The sequence below is a fragment of the Homo sapiens genome, chromosome 5 (genome assembly GCF_000001405.40).
Source record: "Homo sapiens chromosome 5, GRCh38.p14 Primary Assembly".
Lineage (NCBI taxonomy): Eukaryota > Metazoa > Chordata > Mammalia > Primates > Hominidae > Homo > Homo sapiens.
The window spans coordinates 108,625,680-108,642,967 of record NC_000005.10 but is presented as its reverse complement, the minus strand read 5'-3'; the positions used below and the strand labels follow the sequence as shown (position 1 = coordinate 108,642,967).

The following is a 17,288-nucleotide window of genomic DNA, read 5'->3' as shown; positions in this document are numbered from 1 at the left end:
GTGGGGACACACGAGGTAGGGTGGTGAGAGAAGTTTCTGAGGAGTTGGATCCACTGTGTAAAGAAAGTGGCCATGCAGGAAGTTAAGGGAAAGGTGCCCTAGATATAAAGAATAGCAAGTGTGATTGCCTTGAGGTGAGAATGAGTTTGTTTATATAAGGAATAGAAATCAGGCCATGGGGGCCTTAAAGTCAGAGAGGTTGGCAGGAACCAGATCATGCAGAGCCTTCCTGGCTGTGGTAAGAGACTTGGGGAGTCACTGGAGGGTTTAAATGAGAGAAGTGACATTACTATTATTGTTATTTTATTTTATTTTAAATTTTACTACTTACCATTATCATTAATTATGACTCATTTTTTAAAAGTAAAAATTGTTCATGCTATGGCAGGGATTCTCAACAGGGGGTGATTTTTGCCTCCTGGGGACATTTGTCCATGCCTGGAGACAGCTTCAGTTGTCACACTGGGGAGTGCTACTGACATCTAGTGGGCAAAGGCCAAAGATGCTGCTAAACAGCCTACCATGTCTGGACTACCCCCTACAACAAAGAAATAGGCAGCCTAAACTGTCCGTCGTGACGTGCTTGAGAAACCCTGAGCTATGGCAGGGAGAATGGAGAACTGGAGAAGGGGAAAGAGTGGAAGCAGGAGGCTGGAGCAGAAACTCAGAAGAAATGTTGGTTATTTGGACTGGAACGGTAGCAGCAGGGCTGGAGAGAGTGACTCAGGATACATTTTGGAGATAAAGCTGATAGGACCTGTCAGTCAGTTAGCTGTGGAAAGTAAAGGAAAAGGAGTCAAGGGTTACTCTCATATTTTCAGTCGGAGCAACTGGGTAGACAGTAAGGTCATTTACCAAGATGGGGCACAATATGCGAGGAATAGGTTGAGAGGGGAAGATCAAGAATATTGTTTTGGACACATTAAATATGAACTCTGTTAAACTTCCCTGTGGAGATATCAAATAAGGGCTGAATATATGGTTCTGAAACTAAGGGTAAGGGCCAGTTATCAGCAGGTAGATTAGGGGACAAAGTGAGGAAGAAGATCCAGTGGTGGGGACCAGGAGAGGGAGGTTAGGAAACCAGGAAACTACAGTGCCCTGGAAGCCATGGGGGAAAGGATTTGAAGAATGGTGCTGTTATCTGTGTTGAATGTTTCTGAGGAGCCAGTGAGGTAAGAGCAAAAAATAACCCCAGAATTTGGGTGTCCTGGCTGGCTTTCGTCAAGGCAGTCATGACACAGACTATCACAGCTTTGTTGGAGTGGACAGGATTGAGTTCTGATTGAAGTGGGCTTCAGAGAGCAAGGGGGTGTAGGAAATGTAATCAAAGAATATTACTTCTTTCAGTAAATATTGATGAAAAGAGAATCAGAGAAATAAGGCAGTAACAGAATTCCAATTATAGAACAACACAAAAAGTGTTATTTTAAAAAACAGGGTTCTTTTTTTGTAAGTCCCAATTTGTGACATTTACTTATGAAATTAACCAATAGAATTTAAATGAATATTTTCGTGGTGTTGCAGGTGTTGGTAAATAACACATGCATTTCATTCAAATTAGAACTCTGTTTTATAAATGAAATTCCAATAAAATTTTCTAGAACCACTGAAAAACCACTAAAACTTTAGAATGGTAATTTTTGGAAGAATGCATTTGGAAAACCACTATACAAAATTAGCTTTAACAGCAAAATTTCATACATCAATCAGTCAGTAGGGTAATAAACTTATACTCACAATAGGCCTTTCTCTTGGCCCTGAAATTATAGCAAGATTTCAATCCTGTTTTTTTTTTTTAATCCTGTTTTGTTTGTTTGTTTGTTTGTTTGTTTGTTTGTTTTGGAGATGGAGTTTCACTCTTGTTGCCCAGGCTGGAGTGCAATCTTGGCTCACTGCAACCTCTGCCTCCCAGATTCAAGCAATTCTCTTGCCTCAGCCTCCTGAGTAGCTGGGATTACAGGCATGTGCCATCACACCCGGCTAATTTTTGTGTTTTTAGTAGAGACGGGGTTTCTCCATGTTGGTCAGTCTGGTCTGGAACCCTTGACCTCAGGTGATCCGCCCACCTTGGCCTCCCAAAGTGCTGGGATTACAGGCATGAGCCACTGCGCCCAGCCAAGATTTTAATCCTGTTGCTGTCACTTCTTAGCTGTTTGACCTTGAGCAAGTTACTTAACCTCTTGACATGAAAGATTCTCCATTTATAAACCAGTCAAGGTGAGTGTGAAGACTAAATGAAATAATATATGCAAACATGTGTCCGGCATGGGGTCCACATTCTCCTTCTTTCTGGCACCTCCACTTTAGCACTCTCTGACCAAAGTTAGCCTTGCAATGACTCTGTGGAACATGACATACAGCAAAGTTGATCATCATGGGAGGCTCTGGCTCTGGTTTTGTCCTCAGCTCACCTGTGATATCTTTGTACCTCATCTAGCACACATCCAGACCCAGAATGGGCTTTGCAAACAACGGATGCCTATTACCTTGAAGCATCTAAATGATGTAAAACCAAGGAAAGATTTGTTTTTGTGGTTTTTGGATTTTGGTGTATGAGATATTATAGAAAACTAAATATGTAAGCTGTGACAACTTCAATGAGAGAATGCCAGCAAATTTTTAGATTAGGGTTTAGACACAGCCAGGACCATAAAATAGTTACTTTTCCCCAATCTTTCAATCACAAATAGAAGGTTTTTCAAAGGAAGGAAGGTAAAAAAGACCAATAATAATAATAATAATAATAATAATAATAACTCTTGGATTATTTACACTAGTAGAAGTGAAAAAAGTACTTTCAAATTAAAAAAATTTCACTGACCTAATATTGAGATTGTTGAAGAGAAAAGAACTTATTTGTTGATTTGTATTCTCTTTTCAGTAATGGGGACTGCTAAAAGAAATCCATACAGGAGACAAGGAAATTATATTAATGAAATCTTTGTATAATTTAAGCTAAGCAATCATCTCCAGTACACCAAACCACAGGCTTCCTGTACTCATCAGTCCAGACGAATGACATATTCACAAATGTATCATTAGAGTTAGCAAGAGGTTTCTTGTTTTGTTCTTTATTTTTAGACATTGCTAGGGAATATTTATTTCTGTGCAATTCCTAAATTCTGTTAAGTCTTCAACTGATTTAAATGAACAAAAGACATCACTAAGTCATAGCCTAGAATTGGAAGGAAGCTTAAAAAAGCCAGAGGCCCAACTACTCCTCAGCAATGTTCATAACCACTGGTCATCCAGGCCTCCAATTCAACTCTCTAGAGATTTAGAAGTGACTGTTGAACTAGGCAGCCCATGCTGATTCCAGTCTACTCAGATGTCTATAAATTCCATCCTTTAAAGCCACACAGAAACAGGCTAACGCCTTTTTCCAGGCAGGCATTTCCTGTAACGCAACTCAACTCCTCCTAGTAGAGAGTGATGGCTATAGGAGGGAGGGGATGATTAGGAAGCGGTTGCTGTGGGTAGGTCACCAGGCACTGCAGGGCTCTTGCTTCTTGTGAGAGGAGTATTGGTGAGTGAGAGTGGACAATGCTCTCTGTTGACACTGACCATGTTTCAAGATGTAGTTTGAGCCTTACAGACAGACTGAAGGATGTATGCAATTTCAGTCCCAATTATAGCTGTCAACAAGTGAGTTTCACATATTTTCCCCTTGCAGTCCCAATTTCTCCACTACCACTCTGCATTTCTTAGGCTCCAGAAGTCATCCATGTGAATATTCTGGGATGTACTAATGGCAGGGAGATAATACCCCTGGATTAGGGTAGAGGACTGTCTTTGAGATTTTTACCTATGTCCAGCACCCTTCCTGGGCAGCTTCCGTGATGAATGAATTCTGTTTTCAAACATGGAGTGCACTTGGGCTTTCAAAAATATGAACGTCTTTTACTGTCACATGGAGTCAGTGGCAATGAGAATTAATCAGGATCTGATGGTCATTTCTGCCATGCAAACCTCCTTTATGTAAATAGAGAGAGCTTCCAAATTTCTTCAGGCTCAAAACAGGGTGCAAAAACTCCACAGTCCTCCCATATTACCAGCATCCTTAGTGTAAGGTTTCTGATACAGAAAATCTTCAAAGATTCCATTTTCAGGGGACGTTTCTTCATTTTGATCATGCTTTACTTTCCCTCAGTGTCATTTTTATCTGTCTTGGATTCATTTTACTTTCTTAAAAACACTTTCTTTTTTTGAAGATGAGGTCTCACTCTGTTGCCCAGGCTGGAGTCCAGTGGCACAATCATAGCTCACTGTAGCCTCAAACTCCTGAGTTCAAACAATCCTCCCCTCTCAGTCTCCCAAGTAGCTGGGACCACAGGTATGTGCCACCATGTCCAGTTCATTCCTTTTATTTTTTTGTAGAGACAGGGGTCTCACTATGTTGCCCAGACTGGTCTCAAAGTTCTGGCCTCAAACAATCCTCCCACCTTAACCTCCCAAAGTGCTGACATTACAAGTGTGAGCTGCTGCTCTTGGCCAATTTTTTTTTTTTTTAAATTTTAGGTTATGTGGGTTACTTTACAGCCCTGAGACAAAGTCAATTAGTAACAATTAAGCAGTATCTAGATTTAATGATTTTCAGAATTTTTATACTTACAACCCTTTAAAAGTTAAAAATATGTCATGCTTCCCAGAACATTATAGTAGTAGAATATTTAGTAGCCATTGATTGAGAAATTATCTAATGACTAAAGCAGAAGCTTTTGAACACATCCCAGTAGCAACTGAACAAGTCCACAAGTTTGAAAAATTGAATAGAAGTGAGTCACATTAATCCTTTTTAGGTAGTGCTTAGTATGCATACTCTTCAACTCAGTGTCTGCTCAGAAGTTTGCACCCACCCTTTCCCCATGTTCCCTCCTTCCCCCCTACAGACTTCCCCGAAGAATCGACATATTTCTTTAGCAGCTTCTTAATTCATAATACTTATTGGTTTTGCCCAGAATGCAAGCTAAAGCTTCTAGCTTGACCTAATTAGATTTTACCTTAAAACCACAGAAAGTTGGAGCTGGAAGGAATAATAGAGGTCATCTAGTTTTACCTCCTTAATTCCCAAATAAGAAAACTAAGACCCCAAGGCTTACAAGCAGCTGCCCTGGGGCACAGAGAATAGGACAGAACCAGGTTCTTCTGGTAGCATTCTGGTCCCAGTCTCTGCCTGGATCTGGTGCACAGAGCTACTAGGCCTGCATCTGGAGCACTGGTCACTCCAAACGGCTAGAAGTTTCTCCAGTATCAGGCTGTGTCCTGCTGCTAGCATATTATTTGTGTAACTCCTCTTGCCCAGAATCGATTTCTCCCCACAATTACTTGGTAGCAATTTAGTTCATCTTCCAGACTCAGCTAGAGTAAAACCTTCCCATGAAGCATCTTTAGACCCTCAAATAAGACACCCCACCTCTTTTGTGCTTCTACTGTAGAAATAATAAGAATAATGGCTAACATTTACTGAGCACTTACTACATGCCAGTAACATTACATGTTACATCTCACTTAATCCTCATAACATATTATGCCATAGGAAGTATTATTTGCCTTTAGCTTAAAAATAAGGAAATGGAAGCTTAGGGATATTGAGTAATTTGTATAAGTGTCAGAAGTGAGATGCTCCCTCTCACAGTGTGAGTCAAGTATCACACACTTAACCACTCTGTTATGTTGCTGTGTGTTGCACAACAGTTGTAGCACAGCATTCATAACATCTGAGCGTACTTATGTTTTGATGTATGTCTTTCACTCCCATTAGACTATAAGCACCTCAGAGAAAGGAATAATATTTTATCTGTCTTTTTCCTCCCCATACCTAGCAGTTTCTGTCACAGAGTATGTTCTCAATGTATATTTGCTAAATGAATGAATGCATGAATGAAATAATCACTGCATAGGTGGTTTTTAAAGTGCAGTTCCAAAAGAATTCATGCATAATGATCGTTTATAAGTGAGAGGGCAGAACTATTGATTTATCTGCGTGAATGATGACTTCCCAAAATAGATACAAACTGTGGCAAAAATGTCAGATAATAGAAGGCTTTATATATTAGCAGAAGCAAATATTGCTATAGGCCAGTATGGAAACTTCAGATTTCTTCCTCTCTCAATCCCTTTCTCTCTCCCCAGGCCCCTCCTTGTTAAGGAAGAACACAGAGGAAGCAGAGAACATGGAAGTAGCATTAGAGTGGAATCAGGAGAGCTGGACCCAAACCCTGCAGTCACTTAGCTTCCGGTGAGACTCTGGCATGTGAGATGACCTGAAAAAACCACTCTTTCCATTTCTTCTAAGCAGGGATATGCTTCTAAATGCTCTCTAAGGCCTTTCAGATGCAAACATTCTGGAATTCTAAAATTCACCAGGTGGTCTGTGGGCTGATCCAAAATGAAAGTCATTTAAAAAAAAGTCTGTTATTTTGGGCTTCCCCAAAGCATATATTTTCTATATTGCAGATTTGAAGCCGCATTTTAAAAGACAGAAAATAAAGATTTTAAAAATTAAAACTAAACCTGCACTTCTTTTGCAGGGGCAAGGCCCCCAAAGATTTTGCATTTGTGGTGGTGGAAAGAATTAGAACAGGCTAGGCACAGTGGCTCACGGCTGTAATCCAAGCACTTTGGGAGGCTGAAACAAGAGGGTCACTTGAGTCCAGGAGTTGCCTGGGCAGCAAAGCAAGATCCTGTCTCTACAAACAAATAAAAAATTACCTGGGCATGGTGGCATGTGCCTATAGTCCCAGCTGAGGTGGGAGGATCATTTGTTTGGGCCAGGGAGGTTGAGGCTGCAGTGAGCCATGATTATACCACTGCACTCAGCCTGGGTGACAGAGTGAGACCCTGTGTCAAAAAAAAAAAAAAAAAATTAGAAGAGTTCTTACATATAGGAGGGTTTTAGCCAGAAAAAGCAGGAAAGGGGCTGAGCTAATCCCCTAGCCCATCTTGGTCTACCTGTCTGTCACATGGAAGGGTGGGAGCTCATCAAAGTTCTTTTCTAGAGCAAACATTCCACGCTTTCATGTGCTCCTGAAATCAACGCAGGATCTCTCTTCACACAACCAGTGAGGGGGAGCCCCCATTTGGAAGCCCCTGCCACTGTGTTACTACTTCTTCCACTGCCTTTCTACTGATGTTGTGGCTTTGGTCATGTCCATCATCACTTTATGACCATTATAAGGTCAAATTCAATTGCTTCTGTTTTTGTTTGTTTGTTTGTTTACTTTGATCCCTATCTATATTTTTTGGGGGGATGCTTGTGAATTATCTTAGGAAAGGCAAATGCTCATGTATGTCATATTCTAGCCATAAATCAAGGGGTCTGCACCTATCTCTTACAATCAGAAAAATACAATATGTATGCATTTAACATGGGACTTTAGCCAGGCATGGTGATGTGCATCTGTAGTACCCGCTATTTGTGAGGCTGAGGCAGGAGGATCACTCGAGCCCAGGAGTTCAAGACCAGCCTGGGCAACATAGCAAGACCTCATCTCTAAATAAATAAATAAAAAGGAAAAAATAAATAAACTGGGATTTCCCTTGGAATGAGTATTCTTAATTTTATAAATAAATGATTTGGTTTGACACTTGAAATTATCTTCATTTTTAATTTTCATGATTTTTCTCATGAAATATATTTTGCTTTAAAAAATAATATAGTGTTTGAAATTAGCCATAAATGTCCATGATTTAATTAATATAAGGTGCTATGACATTTTTAGTGATAAACTATGAAAATCACAGCACACAAGTTTCCCATAGATATTTTTGGAGAAATTATGTCAGCTGTTCTTATAAAGCTTCCTTTTATCCTTTACCACTTTCCTTTTTAAACTTGCTATATATATTTACAGAACAGCAAAATTTCCCCACAAGATGTTTTAATTTGCATTTCTCTCAATGACTAATCTGACATACCAGATAGGAGATTCTTATTTTTTCCATCACAGTAAATGCTAACCAAGTATTTTGTTTTTGTGAATTGAGAAATCTAGCAATAATAGACAAGAAATAAAGAGTCCAGTGTTTGCATATCCTCTTTCTCAAGATGGCCATATTTTTGAGATTATCCTTTTTGCAAAATGGTAGTCCACGTTTCCATTTCAGTAACTTTGCTGTAATGGAAAGTCATACAAGTGTTGCCAGAATCAATAGTTTAGATTCTTGTATCTGTCTCAGACAGCAGGGTTGCTGTATACAATGTATTTCCATTTGATATTACCAGAGTTTCTTATTTGTAGTTATCTTTTAGGATAGTGTGATCTGAGTTTACTCCCAAAGTGATACATGATTTTATTTTCTTGTTTTTTTTTTTAAAAAAGAAAAAAACACATTTTCTCATTTGTAAAACATTGAGTAATTATTCATTTTTTTTGTCTTTGTACCAAGAAGAAGGAAGCATTTACCCATTTCTGTCTTATCTGTCACATTAGTTGGCAAGCTAATCCTCCATGAGCTTCCATTGGATGTTTTTCTCCCAGCTATTTATAGTCAACTAATGGTCACTTTTCAGGAATTTTTGTCTGTGTTCCACATGTTTGATTGTAACAAGGCAGTTAACTGGCAAGAAGTTTCAATGAGGAGGCCCCTCAAAAACTGGCTTCAGGATTTTCCATAACTGTTGCTGCTTAGAAACAGGACTTGGGAAGTATTCATTCTGCACTTGTCACCAATGACAAACTGAGGATCTACAATAAATTGAGGCATCCCCATATGAATGGTAGTCCAGGTTCCTAAATGTAGACCACATGTGTAATTGCACTGTTTCTGCTGGTATTTACACACTTTAAGTAAATCTTGCATCTGGCCAATGGGATACATCATCTAGGAAATCCCTCATGACTGTGAGAATGGAAACCACTAAGTTCAAAGGGTAGCCAGGAGCTGAGGCTGAAGGAAGGCAAAAACTAAAAAAGAGAAAAATATTTCAATTTGTGAAATAAATGAGACAAGCAAATTGCCTGACTTATTGGTACCTTTACTTTTGAAACAGTCATGAAGATTTCTTGGGAAGGTAGGCAGAAGGACCAGAGACTGAGAATGGGAGCAAGGCAGAGGTTAAACAGACATCTCCAGACTGAGATATGAGTAAAAACCATTTCCAAAGCTGGAGAGCGCAGGACTAAGTTGTCCATTCAGTAGCGTTTATTGAGTACCTACTGAATGTGTCACTGATTATATTACTATGCATTTCCAGCTCACTACTAAACAGATTGCTACTTTGCTGGCATTGCTGCCTTGAGTGGACAGGCATTGCTGTGTCTGTCTAGAACAGTACCCCTTCTTCTCTGGGGAATCATTCTTCACTCATTCCAACCATGTGGCTGTGTTGAGGGAGGCCACTCATCCTCCCTCTATGAGGAGTGGGTACCTAGCTCAGATAAGTCAAGCTTTATACCCATTCCTGCTTGCCACAGTGACTGTACGAGGGTGTATGACCTAGGTCAAGCCAATCAGAGTCCTTTCTCAGAATTTTTCTAACTGCAGCTGGTAGGGCAGATCCCTCTTTCATCCCTTGTCGTGAAATTGTCAGGATGTAAGCCTAAATCTGGCTATCATTAGAGTCTTATAAAGACAGCTGGCCTGGACGACCAAAGCTGACATTCAGAAAGAAGAGAAGTTATTTGAAGAAAGACACGGAGAAACATTGACCTGTTGGCTTTTGAGGTCTGTATCCAATCACCTGTAAGGTCAGATCCCAGGTATTCCATGGCATTATGTGGGCTGATTCACTTCTTCTCCAGAGAGTTAGAACTGTGTCTCTGCAACTTGCAACTGAGAATCTTGAGTATCCATTGAAATTTGTTCTTTTGTTAAGATGGTTGTCATGATAATACTAGAAGAGGTTTTAAATGGGAGGCCGAGGCGGGTGGATCACGAGGTCAGGAGATCGAGACCATCCTGGCTAACACGGTGAAACTCCGTCTCTACTAAAAATACAAAAAATTAGCCGGGCGTGGTAGCAGGCGCCTGTAGTTCCAGCTCCTCGGGAGGCTGAGGCAGAAGAATGGCGTGAACCCGGGAGGCGGAGCTTGCAGTGAGCCAAGATCGCGCCACTGCACTCCAGCCTGGGTAACAGAGCGAGACTCCGTCCCCCGCCCCCACTGCCCAAAAAAAAAGGGTTGAAGAGGAAAGGCATATACTGGGAAGATGGAGGCAGAGGTAGTGTGGAGAACTGCATTCCCAAGTCTCGGCCCCAGGAGAAATCACCAAGCCCTCAGTCAAGAGCAGAGAAGGCAAGGGCCAAGCCACAAGCCAGCGATTATAATCTGACAAAAAGAAGAGATTGCTGGTTTACCATTCAGTTGCTGGATCTGTTCTGAACTAGCGTAGATAATAGCTTATCATGGTTAGGCTATTAATGCATTACCAAAGCACAAATGCTCAGGTCTATTTTCTGAATCCTGATTTGATATTTTGTAGTTTAAGAAGTCGCTCTACTCAAATAGTGCCAGCATTTAGCTCATCTGTCTTCTTTTCAGATTAAGCAGAAACCAGACACCAAAAAGAAAAATAGTAAAACCTTGAATATCCTGGAAGAGGCAGGAACAATAGAATGGAATAGATGTTAAGCAACAATGACACATTTTAGGCCTTGTATTGATTTAAAGAAAGTAACTAAAAGTAAGTAAATATTCATTGGAAGATTAGTAACTGCAAATAACTGAAAACCCAACTCAAACTGGTTTGAGCATGACAGATAAATTATGCTTTACATCGTTTATGTGGGGGTGTTCAGGTGACATTGACTTGGGTCATATCCCTTTCTCTGTAATTCTCTAGGCTTTTCCAGGTTTTCAGTGAGGGCTTCTCTTAGAAAACACATGCTTCACTTTTCTTTGTTTTTGTACAAGCTCTGTTAAGACTAAGCTTGCCTTTTTATTTTATGATCCTTCTGAAGACCACAGGCATTCTAACCCATTGAGTTTTGTCAGGTTTTCTAGTGCTACAGCCTCAGAGGGCATGTGGTCACAATCCCTGTGTTTAACCAGCTGATGTGCTATCACATGACAATGATCGCCAATTTCCCAGACTAGAATAAAGGTCCACTACCTTCTACCTAATTTTCATTCAGCAACCCTGGCAATTTACAGTCTGTTACTTTCAACTCCACATTCTTGGGAACAAATTCTGGGTCCATTAAGATGTATTTGGTTGGAAGTAACAGAACATGCAGAGTAACAGAACATTCAGCTTAAGCACTGAAAGTGCTTTATTGGCTCATGTAATACACAGTTTGGCTCACACTGGTAATACCAGCACTTTGGGAGGCTGAGGCATGAGGATCCCTTGAGGCCAGGAGTGTGAGAACAGCCTGGCAACATAGTGAGACCCCATCTCTCCAAAAATAAACAGTTTGGTGGTCATGTGGCTTTAAGCCTGGTTTCATCAGGGCTCTGGCTCCACTTCTCTGGAGTGCTTGGCTGTGCCCCTTCCCTGTGTTGGTTTGGGTTTCAGGCTGGCCTCCCTCATGGTAGTGGCATGGCTGCCAATGGCTAACAAGGCTACATGTTTCTTGTTTACAAATAATTTCTTTCTAAATTTCACAGTTTTTGTGTCATATTAGTGGAGAGGCAAGGGAGTTCTGGTCCACAACTAAGTTGTAGGTAATAGTTCCCCTTCCCTACATAGTAACCTAACAAAATGTAAACCCTTCGCAAAATTAGGAGACAGGAAACCTCAGCCCACTAATTAATTTTTACAAGCATTTTTTTTTAGGGCACCTGACACTAAGCAGGTTTTTCTCTTATTAGACCCTAAGACCCATTTTTAATTCTTCTTGCCCTCAAATAGAACAATTTTCTTGTTTCCAGATTGATGTCTGACAGCAAGGAGGATGTACGGTGGTTGGTAATAATAGGAAGACCTTGGGAAAGGGGCTGTGAAAGGGGCTGTGTCGTAAAGAACATGCTATTATCCTACTTCTTCCCTTATGGCCTATTATGGGCTAAATTATGCCACTCACTCTCACATTCATATCTTGAAGTCCTAATCCTCAGTACCTCAGAATGGAACTGTATTTGGATATAGGAACTTTAAAGACGTAATTAACTTAAAATGGATTTTTTAGGGTGGGCCTTAGTCCAATATGACTGGCATACTTATAAGAAGAGATTAGGACACAGGTAACATCGACAAAGGAAAGAAGACGGCTATCTATAACACACAACTTTCTTCCTTCTCTCTTCTCTTCTCATCCTTCCCTTAGAATTATCAGTAGAAAGAGGAACAGGTCATTCTTCAGAGGAGAAACAGCTACTGGGACAATGTTACCACCCACCTTACGCACACACCCTGGAATTTAGAGACCTGGTTGTATGAGGATGTCTGCTCCTTCACTTCTATGCCAGCTCTGCAGAGGGTCCCTCGACACCACTTCACACCCAGGATAGTCATATTATAGACTCATAGATCTTGTTACTCTATTTTTGCTAAGGCATAAACACATCATAGTTTTCAAGTTGAATTCAAGCCAGTTCCTTAAGAATGAATTTAGGTATTGGAATAGTTTATGTATAAACCTGCGTTTATTTAGTATGTCCAACCACATGTTCAATTGGAAAGGAAATAACAGGTTATGAGGAAGATATAGTCAGAGGAGTACCTATAAATATGCTAAGGCAGAGGCCTAGCCCTCTTCTCTGTGTCTGTGAAATGTGCAGAAATGTCCAGGAGAAGGCCTGGGGGAAGTCCAGGGAACATGCTCCCTCCTTCCTTAAATAAATTATGGGAAATTCCCAAAGAAAAATAGCAGAAGGAGGAAAATTTGGAAAAGGCAACATAAATAACTCAGAAGTCACAGCAAACAATATTAGATTTGATGGTTCAAGCTTATAATTCTCTCCCCAAAGTGCCATCCTTTGAGAGCTTACATGGAACTATGTTTAAAACACCGCCTTTTCTGTCACTCTGCCCTTTGTGATTTAAATGCCACAACTAAGCAGAGTACAACCTGACACCACCTCAGTCTTGACAACAGATCAAGGACCACAGCATCTGCTGCTGGGTTGGGTACAGCTGTGAGTTCAGCTGGTGGACAACCAGTCTAAATTGCTCATGGCTGCTGTCTCAGAAGAGCTCTCACTTCTCACCCAGGCAGCTATCCTGTTTCCCAAGCTGCTCAAATGCCCAGCAATTTGATCATGTGATAAATATAAATAAAGTTTTTGGTTTTCCTCATCCTTCTTTATTATGAACACTGGGTGAAGCCAACTTAAAGGAATAAGTGTTCACGGAAAAAAATAGTTATTGTGTTATCATTGTACAAAAAACAGGTGGGTGCAAATTCCTCACTTAATTGCTTTGTTTGGTTTGGTTCATTTCCTTCCACCCAGACCTTCTCCCTCTCTCCATAATCTCTTTTGTATTCTGCTCATAGATCTAGGCCCTCGTCCCCAAAGAAAGAAAGCTAAATTGTTTTTAGATAAAAGTGTCATCTGCCTCCCTCAAAATGGGAAATTCAATCATACAAATGATCGTACAAATGACTGCGGAGGCTGGTTCTCCATTTCCAATGTGGTGTCACTTAGAACGAGATGTTCCTCAGCATCTGTTGTGCACTATTATGGAGGCTGAAAGCCCATGCCACCAATCATAGCAAAGGACACCCAAAGCTGCTGGACTCCGTCCTCAAACAAATTACTTCAGGCTGTAAAATCTTAATTGTCAACAGCAACCAAAAGAGCAGATTGCATTTGGGAAGTCCAACGTACCATGCTTGGAGTACAAGCCAGAGACAGAAAATGGGAGCAGGGACTTGCTGTGTGGTCAGGGGACCAATGAGTGCCCCTTCTAACTGTGGACTCCTCTGTGAGGTGAAGGTATACGGGATCTGAGAGCCACAAGAGGAGAAGGGTCACAAAGCTTGGTTTCATGTCAGCTGGCCTCAGCCAAACCTCTACCCTCTCATTCCAACAAAATATTTTCCTGCGACTGCTGCCCTTCTCTGTTGGATATTGTTCTTTAGGTACATTTAGAACATGTTTTAAAGGTCTATCCCTTTTAGTAGATGCAGTTTAAGGACAAGTTTAATTTATGAAATACATATATCATACAGTCTTATGATTGAAGGAAAAAGGACTAATGATTTGAGATACCTGGCAGAGAATAATTCAGTGGAAATGTACAACAAAGTCATTCTAATGTGCTCAGATAACTATTATCCCCACAAGATGGCAGACAATAAATTAAAGTGCATCAGCTTTTTCATTTGGCATCCACAAAGATGGTAAAGGGAAAGGGAATAAATATTTACTGCATATCTGTCTGGGGCCAGGTCTCATTGTAAAAGATCTTCATATACATTATCTCATCAAGTCCTAGAAAACCTTGTTAGGAATTATTATTTCCATTTTTACAGGTGACGATATTGAGGCTGACACTACTTAAATTGCCCAAATTTCTACAAAGAGAGTGAGTGAAGTAGAATCTGACCTAGCTGACTCTGTGTTCTTTTCATTACATATTTCAATTTTGGTTATACGACTTTAAGAAAGTAGATATCAGTAAATCTTTCCTACCTTGGGTCCACTTGATTTTTAGAGTATGTGCTATATGGAAATATTATGTCTTTGGAAGCAAATTACTCATAACTCAAGTAATATAAGTTTCTCCTCAGTATTTCCACTTCCACAGTCTTCTCTTCCCTTTTCCTATTCGCATGAGCAAGAAATTTGTAATAATAGAGTAAAATAGTAATGCTAGGAAATATGTGATCATAGTCCTCAAAAAAATACTAAAGTTCTAGTCCAGGGGAACCCATGTAATTCCTCCCTTCATTGAAAATCATGAAGATCCCATGGGTCATGACAGCAAATGAAAGTCATGAAGAGAAATACCAAAAAAGAAAAACCCCAACACACACACACACACTGATGGTTTGGCTGGCTTGGCCACTGCTCCAATTGCTGGTATGGGTCTGAGGGTTTGATTGAGAGAGCCCAGGGCTTACATAGCTAAGGGACAAATAAGCCAGCTTATGCTCTGCAGGAAAAATGTGGAAAAATCAAGGCCAAAGGGTTAGAGGTAGGATAGAAGTTGAAGGTGCAGAGACAAGTGGTGAGAGTCTGATAGAAGCAGAGATCAAGGCAAGGTCAGGGCAGGAACAACACTGAAGGCAGTGACCACAAACAGCCTTGAAGCATTGGTAAATCTTTCCCATGTTCGGATTGCTCAGTCTTTCAAGTATAGTGTATGTAATGTGGGTTGTATGTGGTGGAGTGGACAAGTACCTAGGATGGAGAGCCACAAAAATTATCCATGCATTCTATATGGAATTCTTCTTCTTGTTTTTATCTTATTTTAGGGTGACTCTCCCCAGTGCCAATAACCAACACCTCCATTCTTCTTTGCAGAGAAAGCACTTTATCCTTTTCCTTTCTGTGAGGTTACTCCTACTGGACCTCTTCCTGATGCATACATGCTATTGCACTTCTATGTTACACATTTTCTTACCTTCCATTTTCTGCCATGTTTTCTATTATCTGTATTATTCCAAGTGCGATTTACATTTTTTTACTGAGTACTGTAGTCATTCATCTGTCTCCTTTTCATAAAAATCCCTAAAAAAAAGTTTTAATAAATAAAATATATTTTAATAAATAAAATAAAAAATAAACAAAGTATTATTGCCTGTAAAGACAGAAAAACTTAGAACATCAGCATTCAGATAGTCCTGTAGCCATGGTGCCCAATGGAAACCTGTCCTCTTATACAAACATTCCCTTTTAATATTATACAAAAAATCTGGTGTATTAGAAGTCCCCCTGGAAAAACAAAGTAAGCACTACTATAAACTTGCTTTGCAATACCTAGGCAAGGGACATTGTGACTCAACTTTGAATTATAAAACACTGAAGGACAAAAATTGTTGGACCTGCTGTTGCACTTAAAATAAAATAAATGCAATTCTCAAGCTAAAAATCAGAAAGCTGTAAGCCAAAAGTGGGCCTGGCTTGAGGTGGGAACCCCCTCAGACTATTTCTCCTCATTCTTCACCCCTTGTAGGAAAGAGCCACACTTGGGGCTATGTGTTCTTGGCCAAAGTACTTGCACTCTGCCTAGAGCAAAACACATTCTCTTCAAATAAGTGTGCCCTAAAGGGAATATCATGGAGGCAGAGGAACACTCTATCAAAACTTCTACTCCCTCTTTGCAAACTTCTTCAGAGAATCAGAGAGGTGTCAAGACTCAGGGGTCTTCAACCAGGTTGGTTTCAGCAAACCTCTCAATCAACTCTAAATTGCATTTGGGGTAGAAAACCAGGGGGTGGTATTTTTTTCTCCCTACACCTCTGGGGCTTGCTTTGATTGAATATCTTGACTCACGAAGGCAGGTCAGACTCCAAGCTTCTTTAGGGTTAAAATGTGCCTGTGAACAGGTTGCCAGCATTCTGAGCCTGATTTTTCTTCTTCTTTTGAATTCAGAACACCTCCTGAGGTTTCTTCACTACATCCTCACACAGTCCCCTTAGCGGACTCATGGTTGGTCTGGTTAAAAGCTAGTCTGAACACTATCTTCGCTACCTGCTGTGGGCTGACAGACTCTAACTTTGTTGTGTTTCCAGATCTTTGTCTCTTACTGTTTGGAAATGGGAATATACAGCTGCAATGTGGCAATCAAAGTGGGGGAGGTGATCATTTACATTCTAACACACAGAGACTTCCTAGTCAAGGTTACTTATAAATCAAATGGATGTCATTTCATAAACACCCCCAAACAACTGTATTTCATTATGAAAATGTGAAGCAGTGCTGTTAATTGATATCTAAGGACTAAAATCAATTTAACTTACAGACACTCAGCTGCTACAACAGTTGTGAACATGTCTGAATGTTAATAAACACTGATTAGTATTAATACCATACAAGATTTTAAATGTGGCTGGCATGAAATTCTCAATCTAATGGACAGGGAAGCCTGTTGACAAAGATTTATTCTCTATATTCTCTTGTAGACAGAAATTTTCTTAGGCTTGACAGCATCACCATCAGTTTCACAAGCGTACTATGGCACTTGGTTTTTTAGAGACTATAACAATCTCATGAAAAGAAAGAGGGTTGAACACTCATTTGTCACTCAGACACAACACTGAAATGACACAGAGCAAACTGAGGAGCAGCAAGTGAAATGTGAAAATGAAGAGGAAAGAGAAAGTGAAGATGCACAGGCCATAATAATACAGAACAGCGGTACAGATGAGGGACTGTTCCCCAGAGAAGTTGACAGTAGCCATGACCTCCAAAACAAGTGATAATGCAGAGACACAGCTTACTTTTGTTACCTTT

The 17,288-nt window shown here is 40.3% G+C and overlaps 1 annotated feature.

Moving 5' to 3' along the window:
• Positions 346–640: an enhancer, noted in NCBI's record as "tiled region #1653; HepG2 Activating non-DNase unmatched - State 4:PromP". NCBI's record gives its function as "activates a minimal TATA promoter and a strong SV40 promoter by Sharpr-MPRA in HepG2 cells {active_cell/tissue: HepG2}" and the evidence as "EXISTENCE:reporter gene assay evidence [ECO:0000049][PMID:27701403]".